Raw genomic sequence first — 26,799 nt, 5'->3', positions numbered from 1 at the left:
TTGTATTTTGCTGCAAAGACTTTGTTTTTAATTTATTTAAAGAAATAGGTTGTTATTTTTGATTACAGTGGTATTTTTAGAGTTCATAAAAATGTTGAAATATAGTAAAGGGTAAAGAAGCACATAAAATCATCCATGATTTCAATATCTAGAGATAATCACAATTTACATTTCCTTTCAGTCTCATTCTCTTCTTTTAACAGCTTTATTCAGGTATAATTTACATACAATATAATTTGCTTGTTTTTTAAGAGTATAATTTAGTGATTTTTGGTAAATTGAGAGTTTTGCAACCATCACCACAATCCAGTTTTAGAACTTTTCCATCACCCCACATCTGTCTTATATACACATATAAATGTGCCATACAATTGAGATCATACTGTATGTAGAATTTAAAATTAGTTTTTATTGTTAATGAGTGTATTATGAATATTTCCCAGTGGGTTACATTTCCTAAGATGTGGAATTTTACATTGCTACATAAAATCCCCCTATGTACATGTACCTATAATTTATTTAATAAATTCCTTATAAATGTTGGACACATTAGTTTCCATTTTTCACTATGTAAATATGTCCCTGTATACATCTTTTATTATTTCCTCAGGAACAATTCCTACAAAGTAAATTGCCCTCTCTAAAGAGCATACAAATTGACTGAGCCACCGTTAGGCCATTTTCTGAGACTGCACAGGTCACAAAGCAATCTGATCTTTGGGAATACAGCTACATTTTATAGGCTTCTTAGATAATGTTACTCTAAGTACTTTAAATATGTGGGGCTTCTCTGGGCTTTTTTTTTTTTGAGACGGAGTTTCACTCTTACTGCCCAGGCTGGAGAGCAATGGCGCGACCTTGGCTCACTGCAACCTCCGCCTCCCAGGTTCAAGCGATTCTCCTGCCTCAGCCTCCTGAGTAGCTGAGATTACAGGTGCCCGCCACAATGCCTGCCTAATTTTTTTGTATTTTCAGTAGAGATGGGGTTTCACCATGTTGGCCAGACTGGTCTCGAGCTCCTGACCTCAGGTGATCCACCTGCCTCAGCCTCCCAAAGTTCTGGGATTACAGGCATGAGCCACTGCGCCCGGCTTCTCTGGACTTATTATGTGGAGAGATAGTACAAGGCAGTGGCTTTCAGAGTTTTTTGACCATGACCGTTGTGGGAAATACATTTTATATCTCAACCTAGTATGTACACACAGACATGTAGACACATGTATAACCTAAAGTTTCATAAAGCAGTACCTACTGTTACTAATTGTAGTGCACTCTGCTATTTCTTATTCTACCTTATACTGCGTCATTAAAAAAGTGCTGGTCATGACCCACTAAATTTATTTCCCAAACCACTAATGAACAATGACTCACAATTTGAACACACTGGACAGGGGGATAGCCAATAAAATTGAAAAGAGCAAGGAAATTAATGTATTCATGATCTCCTCTCCTGTCTCTTACATTTTTGCAGTAGCAATGTAAAGGAATCCTAAGAGAACAGACATTCTGGGAATAGCAGGCCTAGCGCTGCACAACTGCTTTCCTAGGCTTGCTCCTAGTACCAAGCTCCTGACGCATATAGCAGTGGCAGTAATAACCAGCCCATAGTAAGGTTTGTCACAGGGACTGGTTGTAAGAACTGATTTGGTTGGTATAGCTGTGAGGGCCTGGCACGGTGTCCACGTGTGCCTCAATCCTAATTCTGAAAAAGGCTGACCCTGGGGGTGCTAATTAGATACACAGAGAGGAATGAATGCTGCCAGAAGGCCAAGTTCATGGCAATGCCGCTGTGGCTGAGGTGCAGTCATCAGTCTGGAACGTGAACACTGAACTTCTCTCACATGTGATTCTTCACTTGACTGGCTTCATAGAACCCCAAAGCCACCCCACCACCACATAAATTGTGTCTCTAGGTTCTGTGTTGCTCACACTCAAAATTTCTGGGCCTTCTCATTTGGTGCATGTGAATGGTGCATATGAGTGAAGTCTAGGATGGGGCCTTAGCGTTAAAGCCCTGGGGTAGTGTGACTGAGATTGTTGGTAAAGAATGTGCAGTGGTTGGCATGACCTCAGAAATTCTGAAATGGGACTGCACCTGCAGACTGAAGTGTTCAGAGAGCCAGGGAGGTGCAAGGACTGGGGAGGGTAGAGGCAGGAACCCTGCCTGCCAGGAAGAGCTAGCATCCTGGGGGCAGAAAGGCTGTGCTTTCAAGTAGCAGCAGATGTATTGGTATCTTTGTAATGGAGAAGCATACTTTACAGGAACATTAGGCCAGATTGTCTAACCAGAGTATCTCTACCTGCTTAAAATCTAAGTAGTTTTCTTGTCCTTTGCAGTATCTTATCAAACATCCATGAAGTACATCAGAACATGGGCTACTGCCCTCAGTTTGATGCCATCACAGAGCTGTTGACTGGGAGAGAACACGTGGAGTTCTTTGCCCTTTTGAGAGGAGTCCCAGAGAAAGAAGTTGGCAAGGTACTGTGGGCACCTGAAAGCCAGCCTGTCTCCTTTGGCATCCTGACAATATATACCTTATGGCTTTTCCACACGCATTGACTTCAGGCTGTTTTTCCTCATGAATGCAGCAGCACAAAATGCTGGTTCTTTGTATCTGCTTTCAGGGTGGAAACCTGTAACGGTGGTGGGGCAGGGCTGGGTGGGCAGAGAGGGAGTGCTGCTCCCACCACACGAGTCCCTTCTCCCTGCTTTGGCTCCTCACCAGTTGTCAGGTTATGATTATAGAATCTAGTCCTACTCAGTGAAAGAACTTTCATACATGTATGTGTAGGACAGCATGATAAAATTCCCAAGCCAGACCAAAGTCAAGGTGCTTTTTATCACTGTAGGTTGGTGAGTGGGCGATTCGGAAACTGGGCCTCGTGAAGTATGGAGAAAAATATGCTGGTAACTATAGTGGAGGCAACAAACGCAAGCTCTCTACAGCCATGGCTTTGATCGGCGGGCCTCCTGTGGTGTTTCTGGTGAGTATAACTGTGGATGGAAAACTGTTGTTCTGGCCTGAGTGGAAAACATGACTGTTCAAAAGTCCTATATGTCCAGGGCTGTTGTATGATTGGCTTGTCTTCCCCCAGGGACAGCAGAGCAACCTTGGAAAAGCAGAGGGAAGCTTCTCCCTTGGCACACACTGGGGTGGCTGTACCATGCCTGCAGATGCTCCCAAATAGAGGCACTCCAAGCACTTTGTTTCTTAGCGTGATTGAGGCTGGATATGTGATTTGATCTTTCTCTGGAACATTCTTTCTAATCATCTTTGTGTTCATTCCCTGAAAATGAAGAGTGTGGACACAGCTTTAAAATCCCCAAGGTAGCAACTAGGTCATAGTTCCTTACACACGGATAGATGAAAAACAGATCAGACTGGGAAGTGGCCCTTGACCTTTTTTCTTCTGTAGATAAGAGCATTGATGTTATTACGGGAAGAAGCCTTTGAGGCTTTTATGTATTCCACCTCGGTCTGGAATTTGTTTCTGTAAGGCTAACAGTTGCAATATACTAGGGTAATCTGAGTGAGCTGGAATTAAAAAAAAAAAGGAATTTCACCCCAATCTTATACTGACTTCAATAGAGGTTTCAGACAAAAAGTTGTTTTGTATATACTTATCAGTCATGAAAAGATAATTACAACTAAATGGCCTTTTTCCTTCCCTATTTATTTGGAGAAATTTAATTACATAAAAAAGTACTCAGAATATTTGAGTTTCCTGCATCAATAAGACATTTATAATAATGACCTTGTTTACAAATGAATTTGAAAGTTACTCTAATTCTTTGATTCATCAAGAAATAACTAGAATGGCAAGTTAAAATTTAAGCTGTTTCAAAGATGCTTCTGCATTTAAAAACAAATTTATCTTTGATTTTTTTTCCCCCCAGCAAATAAGACTTATTTTATTCTAATTACAGGATGAACCCACCACAGGCATGGATCCCAAAGCCCGGCGGTTCTTGTGGAATTGTGCCCTAAGTGTTGTCAAGGAGGGGAGATCAGTAGTGCTTACATCTCATAGGTCCGTAGTAAAGTCTTGGGTTCCTCACTGTGGGATGTTTTAACTTTCCAAGTAGAATATGCGATCATTTTGTAAAAATTAGAAAATACAGAAAAGCAAAGAGTAAAACAATTATTACCTGAAATTATATATGCATATTCTTACAAAAATGCAAGCCCAGTATAAATACTGCTCTTTTTCACTTAATATATTGTAAACATTATTCCAAGTCAGTGCATTTAGGTGTCATTTCTTATAGCTGGATAGTATTCCATTAGGATATACTCTTATTTAACTATTCCCCCTTTTGTAGACATTTGGATTATTTCCAACTTGTTCACAATTGTAAACACCACTACACTGAACAGCATCATCCCTATATCCACATGTACTTGTAACAGAATACAATTCCCTAGGAAGCTGGAATGCTGGAAGTCATGGTGATGTTCTCATGGTTACAGAGAATCTCTCTAAAACTAAAACCTCTTTCTGTTTTACCGCAGTATGGAAGAATGTGAAGCTCTTTGCACTAGGATGGCAATCATGGTCAATGGAAGGTTCAGGTGCCTTGGCAGTGTCCAGCATCTAAAAAATAGGTAATAAAGATAATTTCTTTGGGATAGTGCCTAGTGAGAAGGCTTGATATTTATTCTTTTGTGAGTATATAAATGGTGCCTCTAACATAAAGGGAAATAAAACTGAGCAAAACAGTATAGTGGAAAGAATGAGGGCTTTGAAGTCCGAACTGCATTCAAATTCTGTCTTTACCATTTACTGGTTCTGTGACTCTTGGGCAAGTGACTTAACTACTGTAAGAGTTAGTTTCCCTGGAAGATCTACCTCCTAGCTTTGTGCTATAGATGAAATGAAAAAAATTTACATGTGCCAGTACTGGTGAGAGCGCAAGCTTTGGAGTCAAACACAAATGGGTTTGCATCCTGGCCCTACCAATTATGAGCTCTGAGCCATGGGCAAGTGACTAACTCCCTGGGCCTCAGTTTCTCTGTAACATCTGTCAGACTTCATGGGTCCAGGTGAGGATTAAAGGAGATCATGTATTTACAGCACATGGCATGGTGCTTCACATAAAATAAGTATTTAGTAAATGATAACTGGTTCCTTCTCTCAGAAACTTATTTCTGGGCCTGCCAGGGGCCGCCCTTTTTCATGGCACAAGTTGGGTTCCCAGGGTTCAGTATTCTTTTAAATAGTTTTCTGGAGATCCTCCATTTGGGTATTTTTTCCTGCTTTCAGGTTTGGAGATGGTTATACAATAGTTGTACGAATAGCAGGGTCCAACCCGGACCTGAAGCCTGTCCAGGATTTCTTTGGACTTGCATTTCCTGGAAGTGTTCTAAAAGAGAAACACCGGAACATGCTACAATACCAGCTTCCATCTTCATTATCTTCTCTGGCCAGGATATTCAGCATCCTCTCCCAGAGCAAAAAGCGACTCCACATAGAAGACTACTCTGTTTCTCAGACAACACTTGACCAAGTAAGCTTTGAGTGTCAAAACAGATTTACTTCTCAGGGTGTGGATTCCTGCCCCGACACTCCCGCCCATAGGTCCAAGAGCAGTTTGTATCTTGAATTGGTGCTTGAATTCCTGATCTACTATTCCTAGCTATGCTTTTTACTAAACCTCTCTGAACCTGAAAAGGGAGATGATGCCTATGTACTCTATAGGATTATTGTGAGAATTTACTGTAATAATAACCATAAAAACTACCATTTAGTGAGCACCTACCATGGGCCAGGCATTTTACTTGGTGCCTAATCCTATTTAAATTAGATAAAAAAGTACCAAATAGGTCCTGACACTTAAGAAGTACTCAGTAAATATTTTCTTCCCTCTTCCCTTTAATCAAGACCGTATGTGCCAAAGTAAATGGATGACTGAGCAGTTGGTGATGTAGGGGTGGGGGGCGATATAGAAAGTCAGTTTTTGGCCGGGCGTGGTGGCTCATGCCTGTAATCCCAGCACTTTGGGAGGCTGAGGAGCAGGCAGATCATGAGGTCAGGAGATCCAGATAATCCTGGCCAACAGGGTGAAACCCCGTCTCTACTAAAAATACAAAAATTAGCTGGGCATGGTGGTGCGCACTTGTAGTCCCAGCTACTTGCGAGGCTGAGGCAGGAGAATTGCTCGAACCCAGGAGGTGGAGGTTACAGTGAGCCAAGGTCTCGCCACTGCACTCCAGCCTGGGGACAGAGCAAGACCCCATTTCAAGGGGGGAAAAAAAGTCTATTTTTAAGTTGTTATTGCTTTTTTCAAGTATTCTTCCCTCCTTCACACACAGTTTTCTAGTTAATCCATTTATGTAATTCTGTATGCTCCTACTTGACCTAATTTCAACATCTGGAAAAATAGAACTAGAATAAAGAATGAGCAAGTTGAGTGGTATTTATAAAGGTCCATCTTAATCTTTTAACAGGTATTTGTGAACTTTGCCAAGGACCAAAGTGATGATGACCACTTAAAAGACCTCTCATTACACAAAAACCAGACAGTAGTGGACGTTGCAGTTCTCACATCTTTTCTACAGGATGAGAAAGTGAAAGAAAGCTATGTATGAAGAATCCTGTTCATACGGGGTGGCTGAAAGTAAAGAGGAACTAGACTTTCCTTTGCACCATGTGAAGTGTTGTGGAGAAAAGAGCCAGAAGTTGATGTGGGAAGAAGTAAACTGGATACTGTACTGATACTATTCAATGCAATGCAATTCAATGCAATGAAAACAAAATTCCATTACAGGGGCAGTGCCTTTGTAGCCTATGTCTTGTATGGCTCTCAAGTGAAAGACTTGAATTTAGTTTTTTACCTATACCTATGTGAAACTCTATTATGGAACCCAATGGACATATGGGTTTGAACTCACACTTTTTTTTTTTTTTTTGTTCCTGTGTATTCTCATTGGGGTTGCAACAATAATTCATCAAGTAATCATGGCCAGCGATTATTGATCAAAATCAAAAGGTAATGCACATCCTCATTCACTAAGCCATGCCATGCCCAGGAGACTGGTTTCCCGGTGACACATCCATTGCTGGCAATGAGTGTGCCAGAGTTATTAGTGCCAAGTTTTTCAGAAAGTTTGAAGCACCATGGTGTGTCATGCTCACTTTTGTGAAAGCTGCTCTGCTCAGAGTCTATCAACATTGAATATCAGTTGACAGAATGGTGCCATGCGTGGCTAACATCCTGCTTTGATTCCCTCTGATAAGCTGTTCTGGTGGCAGTAACATGCAACAAAAATGTGGGTGTCTCCAGGCACGGGAAACTTGGTTCCATTGTTATATTGTCCTATGCTTCGAGCCATGGGTCTACAGGGTCATCCTTATGAGACTCTTAAATATACTTAGATCCTGGTAAGAGGCAAAGAATCAACAGCCAAACTGCTGGGGCTGCAAGCTGCTGAAGCCAGGGCATGGGATTAAAGAGATTGTGCGTTCAAACCTAGGGAAGCCTGTGCCCATTTGTCCTGACTGTCTGCTAACATGGTACACTGCATCTCAAGATGTTTATCTGACACAAGTGTATTATTTCTGGCTTTTTGAATTAATCTAGAAAATGAAAAGATGGAGTTGTATTTTGACAAAAATGTTTGTACTTTTTAATGTTATTTGGAATTTTAAGTTCTATCAGTGACTTCTGAATCCTTAGAATGGCCTCTTTGTAGAACCCTGTGGTATAGAGGAGTATGGCCACTGCCCCACTATTTTTATTTTCTTATGTAAGTTTGCATATCAGTCATGACTAGTGCCTAGAAAGCAATGTGATGGTCAGGATCTCATGACATTATATTTGAGTTTCTTTCAGATCATTTAGGATACTCTTAATCTCACTTCATCAATCAAATATTTTTTGAGTGTATGCTGTAGCTGAAAGAGTATGTACGTACGTATAAGACTAGAGAGATATTAAGTCTCAGTACACTTCCTGTGCCATGTTATTCAGCTCACTGGTTTACAAATATAGGTTGTCTTGTGGTTGTAGGAGCCCACTGTAACAATACTGGGCAGCCTTTTTTTTTTTTTTTTTAATTGCAACAATGCAAAAGCCAAGAAAGTATAAGGGTCACAAGTCTAAACAATGAATTCTTCAACAGGGAAAACAGCTAGCTTGAAAACTTGCTGAAAAACACAACTTGTGTTTATGGCATTTAGTACCTTCAAATAATTGGCTTTGCAGATATTGGATACCCCATTAAATCTGACAGTCTCAAATTTTTCATCTCTTCAATCACTAGTCAAGAAAAATATAAAAACAACAAATACTTCCATATGGAGCATTTTTCAGAGTTTTCTAACCCAGTCTTATTTTTCTAGTCAGTAAACATTTGTAAAAATACTGTTTCACTAATACTTACTGTTAACTGTCTTGAGAGAAAAGAAAAATATGAGAGAACTATTGTTTGGGGAAGTTCAAGTGATCTTTCAATATCATTACTAACTTCTTCCACTTTTTCCAGAATTTGAATATTAACGCTAAAGGTGTAAGACTTCAGATTTCAAATTAATCTTTCTATATTTTTTAAATTTACAGAATATTATATAACCCACTGCTGAAAAAGAAAAAAATGATTGTTTTAGAAGTTAAAGTCAATATTGATTTTAAATATAAGTAATGAAGGCATATTTCCAATAACTAGTGATATGGCATCGTTGCATTTTACAGTATCTTCAAAAATACAGAATTTATAGAATAATTTCTCCTCATTTAATATTTTTCAAAATCAAAGTTATGGTTTCCTCATTTTACTAAAATCGTATTCTAATTCTTCATTATAGTAAATCTATGAGCAACTCCTTACTTCGGTTCCTCTGATTTCAAGGCCATATTTTAAAAAATCAAAAGGCACTGTGAACTATTTTGAAGAAAACACAACATTTTAATACAGATTGAAAGGACCTCTTCTGAAGCTAGAAACAATCTATAGTTATACATCTTCATTAATACTGTGTTACCTTTTAAAATAGTAATTTTTTACATTTTCCTGTGTAAACCTAATTGTGGTAGAAATTTTTACCAACTCTATACTCAATCAAGCAAAATTTCTGTATATTCCCTGTGGAATGTACCTATGTGAGTTTCAGAAATTCTCAAAATACGTGTTCAAAAATTTCTGCTTTTGCATCTTTGGGACACCTCAGAAAACTTATTAACAACTGTGAATATGAGAAATACAGAAGAAAATAATAAGCCCTCTATACATAAATGCCCAGCACAATTCATTGTTAAAAAACAACCAAACCTCACACTACTGTATTTCATTATCTGTACTGAAAGCAAATGCTTTGTGACTATTAAATGTTGCACATCATTCATTCACTGTATAGTAATCATTGACTAAAGCCATTTGTCTGTGTTTTCTTCTTGTGGTTGTATATATCAGGTAAAATATTTTCCAAAGAGCCATGTGTCATGTAATACTGAACCACTTTGATATTGAGACATTAATTTGTACCCTTGTTATTATCTACTAGTAATAATGTAATACTGTAGAAATATTGCTCTAATTCTTTTCAAAATTGTTGCATCCCCCTTAGAATGTTTCTATTTCCATAAGGATTTAGGTATGCTATTATCCCTTCTTATACCCTAAGATGAAGCTGTTTTTGTGCTCTTTGTTCATCATTGGCCCTCATTCCAAGCACTTTACGCTGTCTGTAATGGGATCTATTTTTGCACTGGAATATCTGAGAATTGCAAAACTAGACAAAAGTTTCACAACAGATTTCTAAGTTAAATCATTTTCATTAAAAGGAAAAAAGAAAAAAAATTTTGTATGTCAATAACTTTATATGAAGTATTAAAATGCATATTTCTATGTTGTAATATAATGAGTCACAAAATAAAGCTGTGACAGTTCTGTTGGTCTACAGAAATTTACTTTTGTGCATTTGTGGCACCACCTACTGTTGAAGGGTTATAAAGCCATTAGAAAAGTAGAGGGGAAGTGATTTGGATCAAAAGGAAAAACTTTAGAAAAGATTCAAATGTTCCCTTAATCATAAAAGAGAACTGAGGGGACTACTTGAAAATAAAAGGTTGTTTTGTATTTTCATGTTGGTTAAGATACTGAGTAACTGGTATTAAGTGTTAGAGGTTTTTAGATAAATATTCTGCTTAATGATTATGAAGCTGCACTGAGATTTCTGAAAATGCTCTGTAGCTGAGCTTATTTAATAAATGTTCACTTGGTATAGGGGAAGCTACAAAGGCAGCCTTCAGTGTCCTTTTGTTTATTCAACCAAAAATATAAGGACACAATGTAGCAGTTATACTGGGAAGGTGCTGGGGGTGGTGGCAATGGTGAGCAGGAAGGCGAAGTAGATATGGAAACAGAAATGATACTAATATCGGTGATTCCTTCCTTTTTTCCTGTAATAAGTGCTGTGCAGACAACATATGAGCAGTGCTGATAAATGTAAATGTATTTTTCATAGCTCATTAAGAATCAGTTTCAGAAAGAGATGTCTGCTTATTTTGCTACTTGAAGAATCCCTGTCAAACAGTCCTTTTGAGGAAGTACAAGAGGCTGTCTCTATTTGTGACCTCAGGAATGGCTGTGACAGTGTCGTGAGCAGTCCTTTTCCTGTGGCACAGATCTGAACTTTGTGTGCAGAAAAATCTTGGCTTCAAGTGAGCCAAGATGCCCCCTGAGCATCAGCATCACAACTTCATCCTCCTATCTTGAAGTTCATGTTATAGTGACTTTAATGAAATCATAGAACACTGTTTCTTCGTGAACAATGACGAGGGAGAGGAAAAAACTTTATTGAAAAATAAAAAGGCAGGTAATTTAGATGAAAATATGTTACCCATGAGGTTTTGTTTTTGCTTTTTGTTTTTGTTTTTGAGAAACAGAATCTCGCTCTGTCGTCCAGGCTGGAGTGCAGCGGCATGATCTTGGCTCACTGCAACCTCCGCCTCCCGGGTTCAAGCGATTCTCCTCAGCTTCCCAAGTAGCTGGTACTACAGGCATGCGCCACCACAACCAGCTAATTTTTGTATTTTTAGTAGAGATGGGGTTTCACTATACGTTGGCCAGGCTGGTCTCAAACTCCTGACCTAAGGTGATCCTTCTGCCTTGGGCTCCCAAAGTGCTGGGATTACAGGCATGAGCCACCTTGCCTGGCCCTACCCATGAGCCTTGACTAAAACATTCTTCTATCTGTAGAAAAGCCCAAAAGAACTTTTCCAGATTCAAAAAACTTGGCACTTTGTAATGGTAATGTTTACATTAAGTAAAAAAAAAAAAAAAACCCACTTAGCTTCAGTTTTCAAGTGTTTACTGTGTTGTCATGCACTTCATTTAATTCTCAACACCTGCCCTATGAGGTAAAAAGTACCATTTTACATATGAGTAAATTACAGCTCAGTGGATAAGAAACTCGTCCAAAGGTACAGGTTCAGTCAAGTGGCAGAGGGTTCTTTTTGTTGAAGTTAGGTATCAGTTAAAATTGACCTTGTAAAATCACATCAGCATCAATATACATTAATTTAACAAATATTTATTGAACTTTACTGTATGCCAGATACTTCTCTAGGTACTAGGGGGTACAATGTAGAAGAAAATAGAATTCCTGCTCTAATGAATTTATATTTCAGTGGTGAAAGATGATGTGTGGACAAACACATCTAATGTATTTTGACAGCAATGGGTGCTAAGAAGAAAATAAGACATGGTAATTGGATAACAATGGAGAGAAGTCAGAGATGGCCTTTTCTGAGGAGTGACATGCTCAGAATCGAATAAAAAGAGCAGGAGCAGCCTTTCAAGGTGGGTGCGAAGGATATTCCCGGAAGAAAGAATAAGTGTTGCAAAAGCCCCAGTGGGAAAAAGCTTGGCAAGCTGAGGTGGTAAAAGAGCTATCTGTACTAATGTCTCTTGTACTGAGTTAGCAAGGACAAGAGTGGCAGGGGGTGGAACTGGAGAGATAGCAGGGACCACATCTCACAGGATCTCGCCAGCCTTTTTAAGGTATTTGGATTTTATTGTTAGTGCAACAAGGAGCCACTGGAGAGTTTTAAACAGTAGTGGTGTGACCTACTGTTTCAGAAAGAACACTGGCTACTATGGGAAGAAAGGACAGTAGGAAGACTAATAGATAATGGTGGATTGAACTAAGATGGTAGCAACAGATAGGGAGCTATGGTAATGTTCAGTATCCACTTTGGAGATAGATCCAGCAGGACTTGCTGACAGACTGCATGTAAGGGCTGAGGGAAAGAGAGCTAGCAAGGTGACTTCTAGTTTGTGACCTGAACTAGGTAGATGGTTGTGTTAAAAATGCAGTGGGTATTTCAGTCTGAAGCTCAGGGGCAATGATGGAAAATAAGATAAATGTGTGCAAGTTGGCTGGGCGTGGTGGTGCACGCCTATAATCACAGCACTTTGGGAGGCCGAGACGGGTGGATCACTTGAGGTCAGGCGTTTGCGACCAGCCTAACATGGTGAAACCCCATCTCTAATAAATACAAAAAAATTAGCTGGGCATGGTGGTGCATGCCTGTAATCCAAGCTACTTGGGAGGCTGAGACAAGAGAATCGCTTGCACCTGGGAGGCGGAGGTTTCAGTGAGCTGAGATCGCACCATTGCACTCCAGCCTGGGCAACAAGAGCGAAACTCCATCTAAAAAAAAAAGTGTGCAAGTTATTGGTACGTATATATTTAAGCCTCGGGACTGAATGAGATTACCTAGAGAGAATGAAGATAGGGAACATTCTTGAGCCTGAGATCCTATAACATTTAGAAGAGAAGCTAGCCAGGGAAATTGAGAGGGACTGGCCAGTGAGAGAGAGTAAAATCTGAAGAGTATAATGCCATATGTTGAAGCTCAGAGAATTATTGTTTCAGGAAGGCAGAAGTTGTCAATTATGTCCAACATTGCTGAGAAGATGAGTAAGGAATGTAAATGAGTAAAGGCAGGAATGGCTATTGAATTTGTTAAGACAGAGGTCCTTGGTGACCTTCCTAAGAGTCATTTCAGCATGACAAGGATGCAGACCTAACTGGAATAGATTTTCAGGGAAGACTGAGAGGCAAGGAAGGGGAGACTGCAAATATATGCAAATCTATATTTTTGCTTTGAAGGGAAACAGAAAACAGGACAACAGCTGGTTTACAGAACTTTTATTTGGATTCTTTCCTTGTCTGTTAATAATATAGGCTGCACCTGGGCATCATCGTGCCCTTCCTTTTTGATTCTGCTGTTTTGCTTTTAATCCTACAGGCATTTCTTCTGGCAGGAGCCTTGTACACACTCTGGGTGGTTCATGACCACCACGGACTTGCCCTTTCAAGGCAGAAGCCTGTGATTCAAAAACTTCCATTCCTTCCAATCGACTATTATAAAACTCATTTTGTCTAGTGCCCATACTCCTTTACCTTAGGATCCTGGGCCAACTGTCACTAAAGAAAACAAACCATTTCCTCCTCCTGGGGGAATGTGCTTCTTTCAAGAAGGTGCTTAGAGAATAGACATTCTAGGTGACAGCAGTTATGAAAGAGGTGTCTCTAATGAACCTAACACTTCTTCCAACATACTCCAGGTTCACCCTCCTTTGAAGACAGAAAGTACTACAACTTCAGTTGCCACCCTAGTCAGGTTCATAGGATTTACTCAGTAGGTTAAGAGATGGTGCTGAGAATGAAGTCCAGAGTTTGAGTCTACAAGTGGCATTTGCTTCTCCTTTGGGACTTCTGTGGCAGGGTGTGGAACCAAATCAGATTGGTTGCATATCTGTTTCTCTTCCTGAAAATACAATTCAAATACCTTCATAGTCTGTGACAGCAACTTATAACCAACAGACAATGGTATTATTTTTATTTATTGATGGCACTCCCCCATAGCCAGAACTTCTACTGAGTCATTCATCGTGTATTCCAGGAATACTTTCCAAATGGAGTAGTGAGGCACTTCCAATAACAGTTATGTAATCTGTTAACAGTGGCTCAAAATGACATGTGAAGGAATGATGTACTTCTTTTTTCAGACTCACAGATCTCATATGTTAATTCAGTCAACAAGTACTTAGGGCTTATCACATGCCAGGCACAGGTAATATGACAATAATGAAAACAAAAACCCTTGCTGTCATAGAATTCGGTTTCTAGTGGGAAGAGACATACATTAACAAATCATATATAAGTAAAACATTAATTATGGTGATAACAGAAAAAGAAAGCAGGGGAGAGGGATAGTGTCTTAGTTCAGGTTGCTGTAACAAGAGTACCATAGACAGGGTGGCTTAAACAACAAACATTTCTTTCTCACAGATCTAGTGGCTGGGAAGTCTAAGACCAGGGTGCCAGCATGAAGAAGTTCTGGTGAAGGCTTACATTCTGGTTTCCTCACAGTGAGGGCTCTTCACGCCCTTATAAATGCACTAATTCTATTACCCACATGACCTCATCTAAAACTAACTCACAAAGGCCAAACCTCCTATGTTGAGATTAAGGCTTCAACATAGGAATTTTGGGGGGACAAAAACATTCAGTCTCTAGCAGATAGGGGCCACTGTGGGAGGGGATTACAATCTTAAATAGGGTTGTCAGGGAAGGCTTCATGAGGGCAAAGACCTGAGGAGGCATGGAAATGATCCACGCAGATGCATGTCTGGGGAAGAGCATTCCAGGCAGAGGCAGTGGGAATGGACCCTCAGGTAAGAGCATGTTTAGCAAGTTCAGAGAAAAGCCTCTTAGGTCAGGTCTGGAGCGAGAGTGGAAAATGTAACAGGACAGATCATGTAAAGACTTGTAGACCACAGTTAGAGGCTTGGACAATAACTCTGAGGATGACATGAAGGTATTGGGAGGGGGTGTTGAGCAGAGGAGTGATATGATCTGGTTTATATTTTAGATTATTCTGACTGCTATGTTGAAAATAGGGTTGAGAGCAGAGGGGAAGGGCAGCACACCAGTTAAGACCACTTCCCAAAAATCCAGATGATGATGGGCTTGAACCAGGAGAGTTGCTATAGGGATGTGAAGCAATCAAATTCTAGATATTTGGGACCTGCTGACAGGTACATAATGGTGTATGAGAGAAAAGGCAGTGTGAGAATGACTCTGAAGTCTGTGGCCTGAGCAAAACAGAAACCTGGAGTTGCCAATAGCTGAGATAAAGTTTCTGGTTAAAGATCAAGAGCTCAGTTTTGGACAAGAGGGGTGTGAGATTTCTAATAGACATTCAGGTGGAGGTGTGGGGAACACACCTGGATGTGATGAGCCTGGAATTCAAATTCACATGTGTGAATTTGAAAAAAGATTCAGAAAAGAGGTGTGGACTGGAGGAGCTATCCACACACAGATAGCATTTGAAGCCACAAGACTGGGGGTGATGACGCAGGGAGTAAGTATAAATAGAAAAGAGAAGTGGTCCAAGGACTCAGTCCTTACATCAGAGGTCAAAGAGACAAGATGGAGACTAGGAGATATGAAGGCTTGTGCAGTGAGTGTTTCGGAGAAACGAAGAAACTTCCCAGAAGAAAGGAGAGGTCAACTGCTAACAAGTCAAGTGAAATGAGAACTGGGAAATGAGTTGACAAGAGCAATTTGGCTGGCGTGATCAGAGAATGTTTAAGAGATAATGTGAGGGAAGAAAATGGAGGCAGGAAGTATGAACTACTCTTTTGAGTCATATTGTAAAGGAAAAAAATGGGGTGATTTTACTCTTTTTTTTTTTTAAAGATAGGAAAAAAAAGTATATTTATATGCTGAGGAGAAGAATCCAGTTGAAGGGGAATACTGTGGCTTCAGGAGACAGGAAAACTGCCTAAGCCACATCCTTCAGCAAGTGAGTGTTCAAGTGGAGGGTTTGTCTTTGCTTGGGGCACGGGCGGTTCATCCACAGTGAAAGGAGAGAAGGCAGGGCATGTGGGGTTGGCTGTAGAAAGCGGGCAGACGGGGTGGGAACTTATGAAGACTCTTCTGATTGTTATTTTCTCTGTTAAGTAAAAGGAAAGGTCATTGGCTAAGAATGAAGATGGACGCGCAGGTGCTGGGAGTCATCGAAGAGAATGAAAGAATGAATAAAATAGAGAAAAATACAATGCTATTATATAAACCTATACATTTAAATTACTTTCCTCTTCAAATTAGACCCCCTGGAAGGCAAATCTCTGTCATGTTAAGTTTTAGGAAAAGTCATAATCTACTTGGAGCTAAGTATGAAGAATAAGGTATATGATTTAAACCACATAATTCTATTTTTGCTTAAACCGGGGAAGCCTTTAAGGTAACGTAGAGTGTACCCATTAAAAAAGATAAAAATGTCAGCTTCCCCTTCCCTTTAAATATAGTAAGGCTCAAAGGTAATTGATGTTCATAACCCTAAGGTACTATAACAGTCTGAAGCAAAATATTAAATGTCTTCTGTAGTATTTTAGTTAACTTTTAATTTTATTGGTAATTTATGTGTAGTTAACCACATACTTGTGCCTCAACTATTTCACATAAATGTGAGATGTCTTAGGCCTCTTTGAACTCTGCATGGAAAAGAATGCTGAGGAGGTATGTCTGTTTAAGCTGCCACTGCCTGCCTCTCATAAATAATATCTCACATTGCATAATAGCCCAGATAAACTGCAGATCGCTTAGAGCCTGATAAATGAGAGGAAACTGTACAGTTTGTTTTCCAAATTGCCCTTGGACAGCTAATTCACAATTTACTATTTTATAGCTGTAAGATTTTAAAAATATAAAATAACATAGCTGTAAATACAGATTATCAGAAGATAGTCTGTAAAAATGTAAATATAATATAGCTGTAAATATACACTATCGGAAGTACCAAATCTAGTTTTAGTAGGTAGAGGCATCAAGTAAAATGGAAATGAAAGATGTTTCAAGGAAAACTCCAGGACATCTGTGGCAGTACTAAAGAAACCTTCCTTCTCAGGTTCCCAGCATGCTATTTTATTGATGTAACAACATTTTCAATAAAGTTGGTAAATTATCACTATATTACTGTCTTATAGCAACATAGCAAGAGCTTTAGAGATCATATAAGTATAAAATGTGAATTTAAAAAAACAATGAATATGCAGGATTTTTATTAGGGCAAGCGTTTCCATAACCATAAATATTTCTTTAAAACAAATAAATGTCCCAAGATCTCTGTTAGTGATCCAAACTAAGTAGAAATTAGTAAAATTAATTATAAATGAACAATTTCAGCATATAAACCAACAAGTCTTTTCTAGATTTTTAACACTGTGACCCAATTGCATTATTTTCCAAGTTAGAATGACTAATAATCAATGAATGTAAAAGCAATAATTAATACAGATGACATTGTACTTTTCCACAGTAAAGAAATAAACAATCTAATATTTTTATAAATCCCATTTTATATCACAAAATAACCTTTACTAAGCAAATTTTTTTAAAATCTCAGGAACTATAGACATGATGAAAAGATAGATATTTTATATAAATAATTCAAAAATACTGTCAGGCAAGGAAATGTAAAATCCTTATTTGAGTAAAAGAAAATGCTATAAAGCAATGAGTTATCAAAATACAGAAGAGGTATTCTAAAACAAATGAAAAACCAAGATGATGAAATAGTGACAACTACTTCTAATGTGTAACAGATACTGAAATGCCAAGGTGAAAGTGAACTGAATTATTTCTTAAAGCAGTGGAGAATATGTAACTTTCAAAAATGCAAGAAGCACAGCAAATTAACTAATTAACTTACCACCTCCTTCAAATAAAAGCGAGAACCTCTTGGGAGAATTTAAGCACCATTAGCAGACACATCTTAGAGCAGTTAATGAAATGTTTTGTATTTCAGTAGAAAACTATTTCAATGGTGAAAATGATGCAGGAATCAGAAGCATATTCTGCTGAGAAACTAGGTAGTTGACACTTTCCCGAACTGGAAAAACATTTCATAAGAAGGCATACAGTTATTGGTTGAATCACATTTGTTCTAAAAATAATTCGTGCTTAGTGAAACAGCTTACCAGCCGCCACAACTCTGGGATCCTCATGGGACTTATGTCTCCCAGCTGCACGACTATCTGCACTCTCATTCCACCAAAGAACATGAACTGCAGAAATAAACCACAAGTAGTTTCTGAAATATATGGCAATAGCAAATAAGAAATATTGAAAAAGTGAATCAGAAATGTTGTCTTATTCTTTAAATCAAAATCAAAAGGTAAAACTAAATATGTTAGTTATAAGATTTCAGAGGGATCAGAAATTTGGAAGATAAATTTATAAGTTAAACTGGAAACATAAGGCTGAAGAGAGAATGCAAAGAAACACAGCTTAAGGCACAATTAAGACTAGACCCGAGTTTAATGACTTCCTACTATGTTTTATTTTTTAAAAAAAGCAGATTATAAAAAATTGTTTACTGTAGAAAATTTAGGTGATACAAAGAAAAAATAAAAGTTAGTATAATCTTAACTGCCTAGATAAACCTTTATCAACATATGGTGTGTTTCCTTTAAAAAAAATTAGTAAACCAAATTAGGGTCTTAGTGTATATTATACTTAGTAACAGATTTTTTAAAATGCTGCAACAATGTGAGAATTTTCTATGTCAATGATATTAATTTTGAATGACAAAGACACCAAAAACAATCATGATAAAAACAAAAATTGACAAATGGTATCTAATTACACTTAAGAGCTTCTGCACAGCAAAAAAAAAAACAAAAAAAAAACTGTCAACAGAGTAAACAGACAACCTCCAGAATGGGAGAAAATTTTTGCAAACTACGCATCTGACAAAGGCCTAATATCCAGCCTCTATAAGGAACTTAAACAAGTTTATAAGAGAAAAAAAGAATCCCATTAAAAAGTAGGTAAAGGGCATGAATAGTCACTTTTCTAAAGAAGACATATATGAGACCAACAAACTTATGAGAAAATGCTCAATATCACTGATCATTAGAGAATGCAAATATAAACCACAATTAGATACCATCTCACACCAGTCAGAATGCCTGTTACTAAAAAGTCAAAAAATAACAGATGCTGGTGAGGTTGTGAAAAAAAGGGAACACTTACACCCTGTTGGTGGGAGTGTAAATTAGTTCAACCATTATGGAAAGCAGTATGGTGATTCCTCAAAGAGCTAAAAGCAGAACTGCCATTCGACCCAACAATCCCATTACTGGATATATACCCAGAGAAATATAAATCATTTTACCATAAAGACATGTGCACGTGAATGTTCACTGCAGCACTATTCACAATAGCAAAAACTTGGAATCTTTTCATGAAAACCTATATGCCCACCAACAACAGATTGGATAAAGAAAATGTGGTACATACACACCATGGAATACCATGCAGCCATAAAAAAGAACCAGATTATAACTTTTGTGGGAACATGGATGTAGCTAGAGGCTATTATCCTCAGCAAACCAACAGAGGAAAAGAAAACCAGATACCACATGTTCTCACTTATAAACGGGAGCTAAATGATGAGAATTTATGAACACAAAGAAGGAAACAACAGACACTGGGGTCTACTTGAGAATGGAAGATGGGAGGAGGGAGAGGATTAGAAAAGATAACAATTGGGTACTGGGCTTAATACCTGAGTGATTAAATAATCTGTACAACAAACCCCCATGACATGGGTTTACCTAAGTAACAAATCTTCACATGTACCCCGTGAACCTAAAATAAAAGTTAAAAAACAAACACCAGTTCAGCATTTGAAAAAGGCTCCATAAAGTATTAACATTCTAAAAAAATAAGATGTAAAATAAGATGCTTATAGATTTTTTCAATCCTATAAACAACAAACTCTAAAAATTTGGAGATAAAAATTAAAACAGGTACCAAAATGAAAAAGAGAGACGAACTGATCTAATACACATGGCAACTTCATAGAACAAATGGACAACTGTACCTCTGTTGAGTTCTCCATATTCTGTGTGGAAAACACCAACTACTTTTGTGTAGCCTAAATTGACATGGGCATTAATTGCTCTTTCAAATGCATCACCCCACAGAGCTGGCCCACCAGGTTTCATCTGAAAAACAGCTAGTTCATAGACTCCTAGAATAGGGAGAAAAATAATTATTTCACAGAAGACATTCAAACAATTTCTAACCAGGTTTTCCTGATTTCATTAGAAGGCTAACCAATGAAGTTAGAGGATAATCCATGTATACATACATATGCAGTCACATTTATTGATTCTCTGCATTATTTTTCTTTGCTTTTATGTTTAGAAAGTCTTTGTCCATGTTTAAGGGTCAGTTGTTAAAATTAATCATAAAGAAAATAAAGAAAAAGGACTGGAAGCTATATATAAACTACACTCTGAAATATTTTTAATCTATAAAATTTGTCAGGAAAACAGATACTGAGAATGTATAATGAAGCAGAATTTTCAAGCTGCCTGTCTACACTTTTTAAAAAAGAAATGCATAAGAGAAGTACTTTCTGATATCCTACATTTCCTTCTCCTTTTCAATTTTGAGAGGAAATAACTTTTTCCTTTGTATAATTTTCTCCGGTAGGATTCTATTTCTAGTTGACCCAAAGTCATGTCTGAGCCTTTAAGGAAAAAAAGAAAACCCTCAAGGAGATGGTTTTATTCTTCCTAAATATCCAGGTAAATGCTTAAAAACCATTCTACCTTCTGGCCAGAAGTATAAGATGGGTGGAGAGAAAGAAACTAGAGGACAAGGTAGATTGGACAAGAAAAAGGAAAGAAATACAAAGTTACTAAAGAATTATGAACAACATAGAGGAAGGGAACTATTAATAAGACTTGACACTGAGAAGTCAACTGTTTTACTTAGTGCTGAAAGTTAAGGGGAGTTTTAAGTACATTAGAATCCAAACAAGACTTTTCAAATCTCTTATAATCTAAAATAAAATACAAAGTTGAGTTTATGGGAGACATAAAATGAAATTTAAATTAGTTTATGCTTTTCGAATCTGACCTCTGTTTAAAATTAGATAGAGGTAATTATTTCCTTTAGTGAGCAAGAAGTGAAATCAGGAAGAAGACAAATCTTTTCAAACTGAGAAACAAGAAAGAGGAAGACACAAAAGTTAAACTACAATAATGTAGCTTAGCAGTGTAAGTTAATTCATTCCCCCAAAACAGTCAGTTTACAAGCAAAGATGTACTTAATGATTTAAGATTAGCTGACTTTGTGGAAAAAATACTTTTATATTTAAAAGTTTATACATTTTAAAACTGTGACAAAATTTCATGAACTACGACTCATCTACCTACACCTGTTTTCCTAGCTCCCAAGCCCCACTTTTTCACCTGTATTGACCATGTCAACTTTTGTTAGGCATCCGTTAGATTTCAATATGGAAAAATACTTCATTTTTTGTTTTAAGGATAAGCAATGTTTAAGGATAAGCTCAATGTTTTAAGGATAAGCAAAGAGCTCTAGAACTCTAATTCTCTTTTTTTTTTTTTTTTTTGAGACGGAGTCTCGCTCTGTCGCCCAGGCTGGAGTGCAGTGGCGAGATCTCGGCTCACTGGAAGCTCCGCCTTCTGGGTTCACGCCATTCCCCTGCCTCAGCCTCCCTAGTAGCTGGGACTACAGGCATGCACCACCACACCCAGCTAATTTTTGTATTTTTGGTAGAGATGGGGCTTCACTACGTTGACCAGGCGGATCTTGAATTCTTGACCTCAAGTGATTCGCCCGCCTCGGCCTTCCAAAGTGCTGAGATTATAGGCGTGAGCCACCGCGCCCAGTCTCTAATTCATTTTTATCTCCAGACTCATCATATATTATTATATAAAACAAAGAATTATATATTTTTTTCCTATAGAACTTTACTCTTTATAACTTTAGGTCTTTAGTATTTTACTCATTAAAACTCATAGTCTAAGAGGGAAGAACTCACCTTCTTTTGGAGGCTTTTCTAATTTGGACCATGGTATCAGGTAAGTAATTTCCGTCTCTTGTTTATCAATGCGAGCCAAATTTGGAATGATAGATTGTTCTTGCCATTCCTTACAGTTGGCTAAGGCTTTCCGAACTTCAGCTCGATGAGCAAAATTATCTATGGGAGGAAAATAGTTAAGAAAATGTTTTTTTATTTAAAATCGCCCATATTTTTACTTGAATTTTACTCAGTTCAGCAAACGTGCAAGGCCATATGGGAACCCCATGTTATTATGTCGCTGGAGATGCCAACATAAATATATGTGACAACTGCTCTCAAGTTACTCATGGTCTAAAAGGGGAGTTGAAATGTAAAAAACTAACTTAATTGACATAGAATGGGCTTTATAGGCTCTAAGACTTTCTTAGGAAGTTGTGTGAATTAGGTTCGTTATTCAATCTTTCTGTGCCTCAGTTTCTTATTCTGTGAAGAAAATAGTATAACATCTACCTCCAGTGTTGTTGTGAGGATTAAATGAATTAGTACATGAAAAGAGCTTAGAATGGTGTTTGGCACCTTAGTTAGTACTCAGTATATGTTAACGATTCTTATCAATGGAAGCATTTGATTTATAGAGAAAGACTATTTTTCCTTGGTGGTGGGTGATTAGGTCAAGGTACACTTTGAATCAAAGTTAACATAAATGAAATTAAGATGCACTTTTTAAGCCTCTTTTTTGAACAACAGCTCCCAATGAAATAGTGCTGATTCTTTTATTTCTTGTCAGTAATTCTTTTTCTCTACAACTTATTTCTCTTCTTTCTAAGTTACCCAAACAGGTATATACATTTACCAAGATATGGGCCTAGTATAGTCAGCCCTCCCTCTCCACAGGTTCTGCATCTGTGGATTCAACCAACTGCAGATTAAAAATATTTTTTAAAAATACAAGTGAAATAATATAGTATAACAACTACTTACATAGTATCTATATTGTATTAGGGATTAAAAATAATCTAGAGATGCTTTAAAGTATATGGAAGGATGTGTGTGGGTTTGATGGAAACAGTATGCTGTTTCATATAATGGACTTGAGCTGAATCTGGTATCTACAGGGGTTCCTGGTACCAACCTCCTGCAACCTCCTGCAAATACAGAGGGACAACTATAGTATATTTACTTTTAGGGCCTCCTAAGACTAATAGTAAATGAATTATATGATTTATGCTGAGGATAAGGAATAACACCTATCTTACAAGTGAATTGTAAAGACTTTACGAGCAGTTTAATGGGACACAATTAAACTTGTGGCTCACCTAACGCACATAAGTGGATTATATATGTGGTTTATCTAAAGCATATAAATGAATTATAAACACTTTATTAGCAGTTTTTTCAATGGGACATGTTTCAACTTGTGGTTTATCTAAAGCATAAATTATGTTTTAATAGGGTCTGTTTTATTATAACAGGGAAAAACTAAAGAGTTACGTCAAGCATAGAATGAACACTTTTCATATTAAATTACTTTATGACTATTAACTTTGGACACTGATCACTAAACAGTAAATGAAATTATTAAAAGTTCTTTAGGTATCCTCAAGTCCTGATGTGGACTGTTAAGAACAGACATGGAAGTAACAAACATTCTGGGGATTCTTGTTACTTGTTCTCTTTCCTCTACTAAACCAGGGGTAGGTCAGCTTCAATATGGGAAGGACTGTCTCTCATTCCTTTTCCTTACCTCCCTAGGGTAGTATGAAAGAATTCCTTGAAACTCTGGGGTACAGAAATGAAAAAAGAAGTGGTCTCTAAACATAACAGAATTATTAAATCTCAGAGTTGGGTGACGCTTAAAAGTTAACTATCATCCTTTAAAAACCTCCATTTTTATAAAGCTCCCAAATGGGTGAATTATTTCTGCAAAAATGCTGATATCCAGCCCTAGCTGTAACAATAATAAGAAAAAAAAAATTATCTTATCCTAATGACACTCCTTTACCCAAGAACTGCAATTAGGAGTCTCATAAATTTACAAAGCTTTCTCCCTTATTTAGCCAGTATTCCATCTTCGTCAATACCATATACATTAGTTACACATTTAAAACATTTTTATTAAATATACATGTCTTTTGGCAGGCCCAACGGTGATCTTAACCCACTTGAACATTTACAATTACTGCTTTAAATTTTTCATGAGCTATCTTTATAGCAAACGATTCTAACATTTTTCTGAGGATTAAAGTCTAATTCACAATTTTATGGTTTGATATATGAGACTGCATGTTTTCTCATTTATGATAACATAAGAGTTCAAGCAAGGGGTGGTTAGAGGTGTACCACTGGGAAGAAGATCTGCTAAATTTATTTTTTTGGTATTGCTTTTAAAAAGTCTTACTTAACCTGTATGTATCTATGGTAATATAGATCCAAGAACTAAGTCTTATGTTACATTTAACAGAATGAAAATCTATACTGAATACTAAAACTGGATGACTCTTTACCATACTTCCAAATATGAAACACTTTATTCGTTCTGCCTCCAAATTCTACACTCCAGAATCCAACCAATTCAGAGTAAGAGGTCCGAAGATGAATGTTTTTCTTAAGATTTTCCATGAACGCATTCATATTTGAAGGTTTAAGGTAATAAGTACGAAATTCATAGAACGTTCCATCGTATTGTCTAGGGCCCGTAGCAAAAGATGAACACACCTGAAGGAGGTAAGACAAATGTAAATATCTTGGGAAGGTACAATTACAGATTTGGTTACAACCAAATCTGAGTCTGGTACAAGGAACACACATAGACTCATTATCCATTGTTTACTTTTGTTGTCAATTCTCCATATACACTTGTTTACATAGAGATGTCAATAAAGATAACTACTCTTAATTCTGATGAATATATAGCAACTGTTTCCTAGCAGGGGTCTACCTCTAGCCATTTTTTCACGAGAATTTGCTCACAAGAAGGCTGTGGGATCATAATGATACTCCTTTACCGAAGAACTACATTTAAGACTTAGTCTCTTTAATTTACAAAGGGTTTTCCCCTGTTTAGCCAATATTCCATCTTACTCAATACCATATGTATTAGTTCCACACATTGAAAAAAATTTATTAAGTACACATGCCTTTTGGCAGGCCCAAAAATACGTTTACTAACAAAAAACTCTTGTTTTTAAAAGGTTCCTAAAAAAACAGGAAGGGCTATTCAGGTCAAAGTATTTCCTGAATCTACTGATGAAGACTACCGGTCAAAAACAGGACTGGAATGTAACTAATATAAAAGGAAGCTATAACTTATCCAATTGCATTGTACTATGGGTGTATACTGCATAAAGGCTGAAAAGGAAAAAAACTCAACAAATGAGAATTGTCTCCATCATTGTTTCTAATTACAGATGCAATATCAAGAAGTATGTACATTTAGTGCACTCAATTATACCAAGTTTATGGAACTATCCTTTAAGAACCACCCTTTGTAATAGTCATATGCCCAATGGGTAAATTTTCTGTCCTAATCTGGCCCTCTGAGCCTGAGTGAGCTTAATGTTCAGTAGCAAATGCCCTGTCAGAAATTATCCAGTCTGTCTGTATGTACGTACATGCAAATATTTATGTAAACACACGTGTATACACAGACCACTCCCGTGGCATTCTAGTTTACAAATCCATTCATTTAGGCATGGTTAGCATGTGACAATTTCCTGAGGCTCACTACCCAGAATAATCTATCGCAACAGTTTCAGTAGGCATCTTTCACTGACATATTTTTGGTTACAACATGCAAATGTCTATGTAGTTTGTGTGCATAACGTCTTAATTATAATTGTCTATCTTGAGTTCATTCATCTCCAGTATGAGTTATGCCCTTATTGCCCAAGTGTCTTAGTTTTCTTAGAAAACCCTTCTTCATACCAAAAAATACCTGCAACTATCCTTTCTTTTGATGGCCATTCTTTTTGGGTCAGTTTAATCAAATTCTGAAAATAAAAAACTGCTTAGTATCTACAGTTTAAAAATATTATTATCTCGGAAAATGGGCCAATGAGGTATTTCTAATAACTGCTTTTAAAGTTGATTTTCGGAGATTTGTATCTGGAGATGTTATCCTAAAAAAACGCAACAGCTGGCGCCACGGGGGTGTCCCGGGAGTTGTGGCATTTAGGCTAGAAACAGCTGGCATCAGGCTGGGCACAGTGGCTCATGCCTGCAATCCAGCACTTTGGGAGGCCAAGGTGGGCGGATCACGAGGTCAGGAGTTCGAGACCAGCCTGACCAACATGGTGAAACCCCCGACTCTACTAAATAGTAAACACAAAAAAAATTAGCCGGGCGTGGTGGCTGGCGCCTGTAATTCCACCTACTCCGGAGGATGAGGCAGGAGAATCGCTTGAACCCGGGAGGCGGAGGTTGCACTGAGCCGAGACTACGCCACTGCACTCCAGCCTGGGCGACAGAGCGAGACTCCGTCTCAAAAACAAAAACAAAAATCACAAAAACACTGGCATCCAGTTAGAAAACCCCTCTGACAGCGACTGCCAGCGAGACGACCCCGGCCTGTAGCCTCCTCCTTGCGCGCCAGACGGCTCCAGAGACCGCGTTAGAACTTCGGCGGCGGCGCGGGGCCCCAGGTCTGGGAGCGCCTGAGCGTGGCTCGCACGCTTCAGAAATACCCCCCGCCCCTCCCCTCCCCTCCGGCCAGGGCTCGGGCGCGCCCCCGCGGCCAGTACCTGAGGCGCGAGCGTCCGTGAGGCAAGCGCCTTGGTCAGGCCGCTTCTGAGAACGAGCATGGCGCGGCTTCGGCACTGAGAAAAGCAGCCAGCCGAGTCCTTTGTGAGACTTCTCTGAAGTCTTCCCGAGTGGAAAAAAGCGGCTCCTGGACCACTGGCGAACTCAGGCAGGGGCGGGACTCGGCGGGGTCAGCT

The 26,799-nt window shown here is 38.2% G+C and overlaps 2 protein-coding genes across 8 annotated transcripts in view, besides 2 other annotated features; one reads left to right on the top strand and one right to left on the bottom strand.

The window, feature by feature from the left end:
- ABCA1 (ATP binding cassette subfamily A member 1) overlaps positions 1-9,899 on the top strand; it is a 147,150-nt gene extending 137,251 nt beyond the window's left edge. Inside the window, exons 45-50 of the mRNA NM_005502.4 lie at positions 2,338-2,479; positions 2,851-2,985; positions 3,929-4,032; positions 4,515-4,607; positions 5,266-5,509; positions 6,450-9,899. Coding sequence (NP_005493.2) covers positions 2,338-2,479; positions 2,851-2,985; positions 3,929-4,032; positions 4,515-4,607; positions 5,266-5,509; positions 6,450-6,590 — 859 coding nt within the window. The 3' untranslated portion in view covers positions 6,591-9,899. The remainder of the gene's footprint in view (positions 1-2,337; positions 2,480-2,850; positions 2,986-3,928; positions 4,033-4,514; positions 4,608-5,265; positions 5,510-6,449) is intronic.
- Positions 6-26,776, bottom strand: NIPSNAP3B (nipsnap homolog 3B). Of its 7 annotated transcripts, none has more exons than XR_007061325.1 (7): positions 26,605-26,776; positions 24,370-24,580; positions 21,884-22,042; positions 19,907-20,056; positions 17,997-18,083; positions 17,729-17,908; positions 6-3,288 (listed from the first exon to the last, which is right to left on the bottom strand). XR_007061325.1 is itself a non-coding variant. In NM_018376.4 (6 exons), the coding sequence occupies exons 1-6, from the start codon at positions 26,662-26,664 to the stop codon at positions 17,832-17,834; spliced, it is 744 nt and encodes a 247-aa protein (NP_060846.2). In that variant the 5' UTR covers positions 26,665-26,776; the 3' UTR covers positions 13,141-17,831. The 7 variants fall into 7 exon arrangements, 3 of the variants coding, with proteins under 3 accessions (NP_060846.2, XP_011517141.1, XP_047279517.1); XR_001746344.2 differs by lacking the exon at positions 6-3,288 and adding an exon at positions 13,141-13,777; NR_130760.2 differs by lacking the exons at positions 6-3,288; positions 19,907-20,056 and adding an exon at positions 13,141-13,777.
- Positions 15,412-15,661: an enhancer, noted in NCBI's record as "active region_28730". NCBI's record gives its function as "activates an Ori minimal core promoter by ATAC-STARR-seq in GM12878 lymphoblastoid cells {active_cell/tissue: GM12878}" and the evidence as "EXISTENCE:reporter gene assay evidence [ECO:0000049][PMID:35858748]".
- Positions 26,461-26,650: a silencer, noted in NCBI's record as "silent region_20144". NCBI's record gives its function as "represses an Ori minimal core promoter by ATAC-STARR-seq in GM12878 lymphoblastoid cells {active_cell/tissue: GM12878}" and the evidence as "EXISTENCE:reporter gene assay evidence [ECO:0000049][PMID:35858748]".

The sequence above is a fragment of the Homo sapiens genome, chromosome 9, assembly GCF_000001405.40.
Source record: "Homo sapiens chromosome 9, GRCh38.p14 Primary Assembly".
NCBI lineage: Eukaryota > Metazoa > Chordata > Mammalia > Primates > Hominidae > Homo > Homo sapiens.
This window is presented reverse-complemented; position numbering and strand designations above follow the sequence as displayed.

Coding starts and splice junctions, on each gene's coding strand:
- NIPSNAP3B (NM_018376.4), bottom strand. CDS start 26,664: ATGCTCGTTCTCAGAAGCGGCCTGACCAAGGCGCTTGCCTCACGGACG. Junction 22,043..24,369: donor GTTTCATATTTGGAAGTATG/GTAAAGAGTCAT, acceptor TTCCTCCCATAG/ATAATTTTGCTCATCGAGCT. Junction 20,057..21,883: donor AGAAAAGCCTCCAAAAGAAG/GTGAGTTCTTCC, acceptor TCCCTATTCTAG/GAGTCTATGAACTAGCTGTT.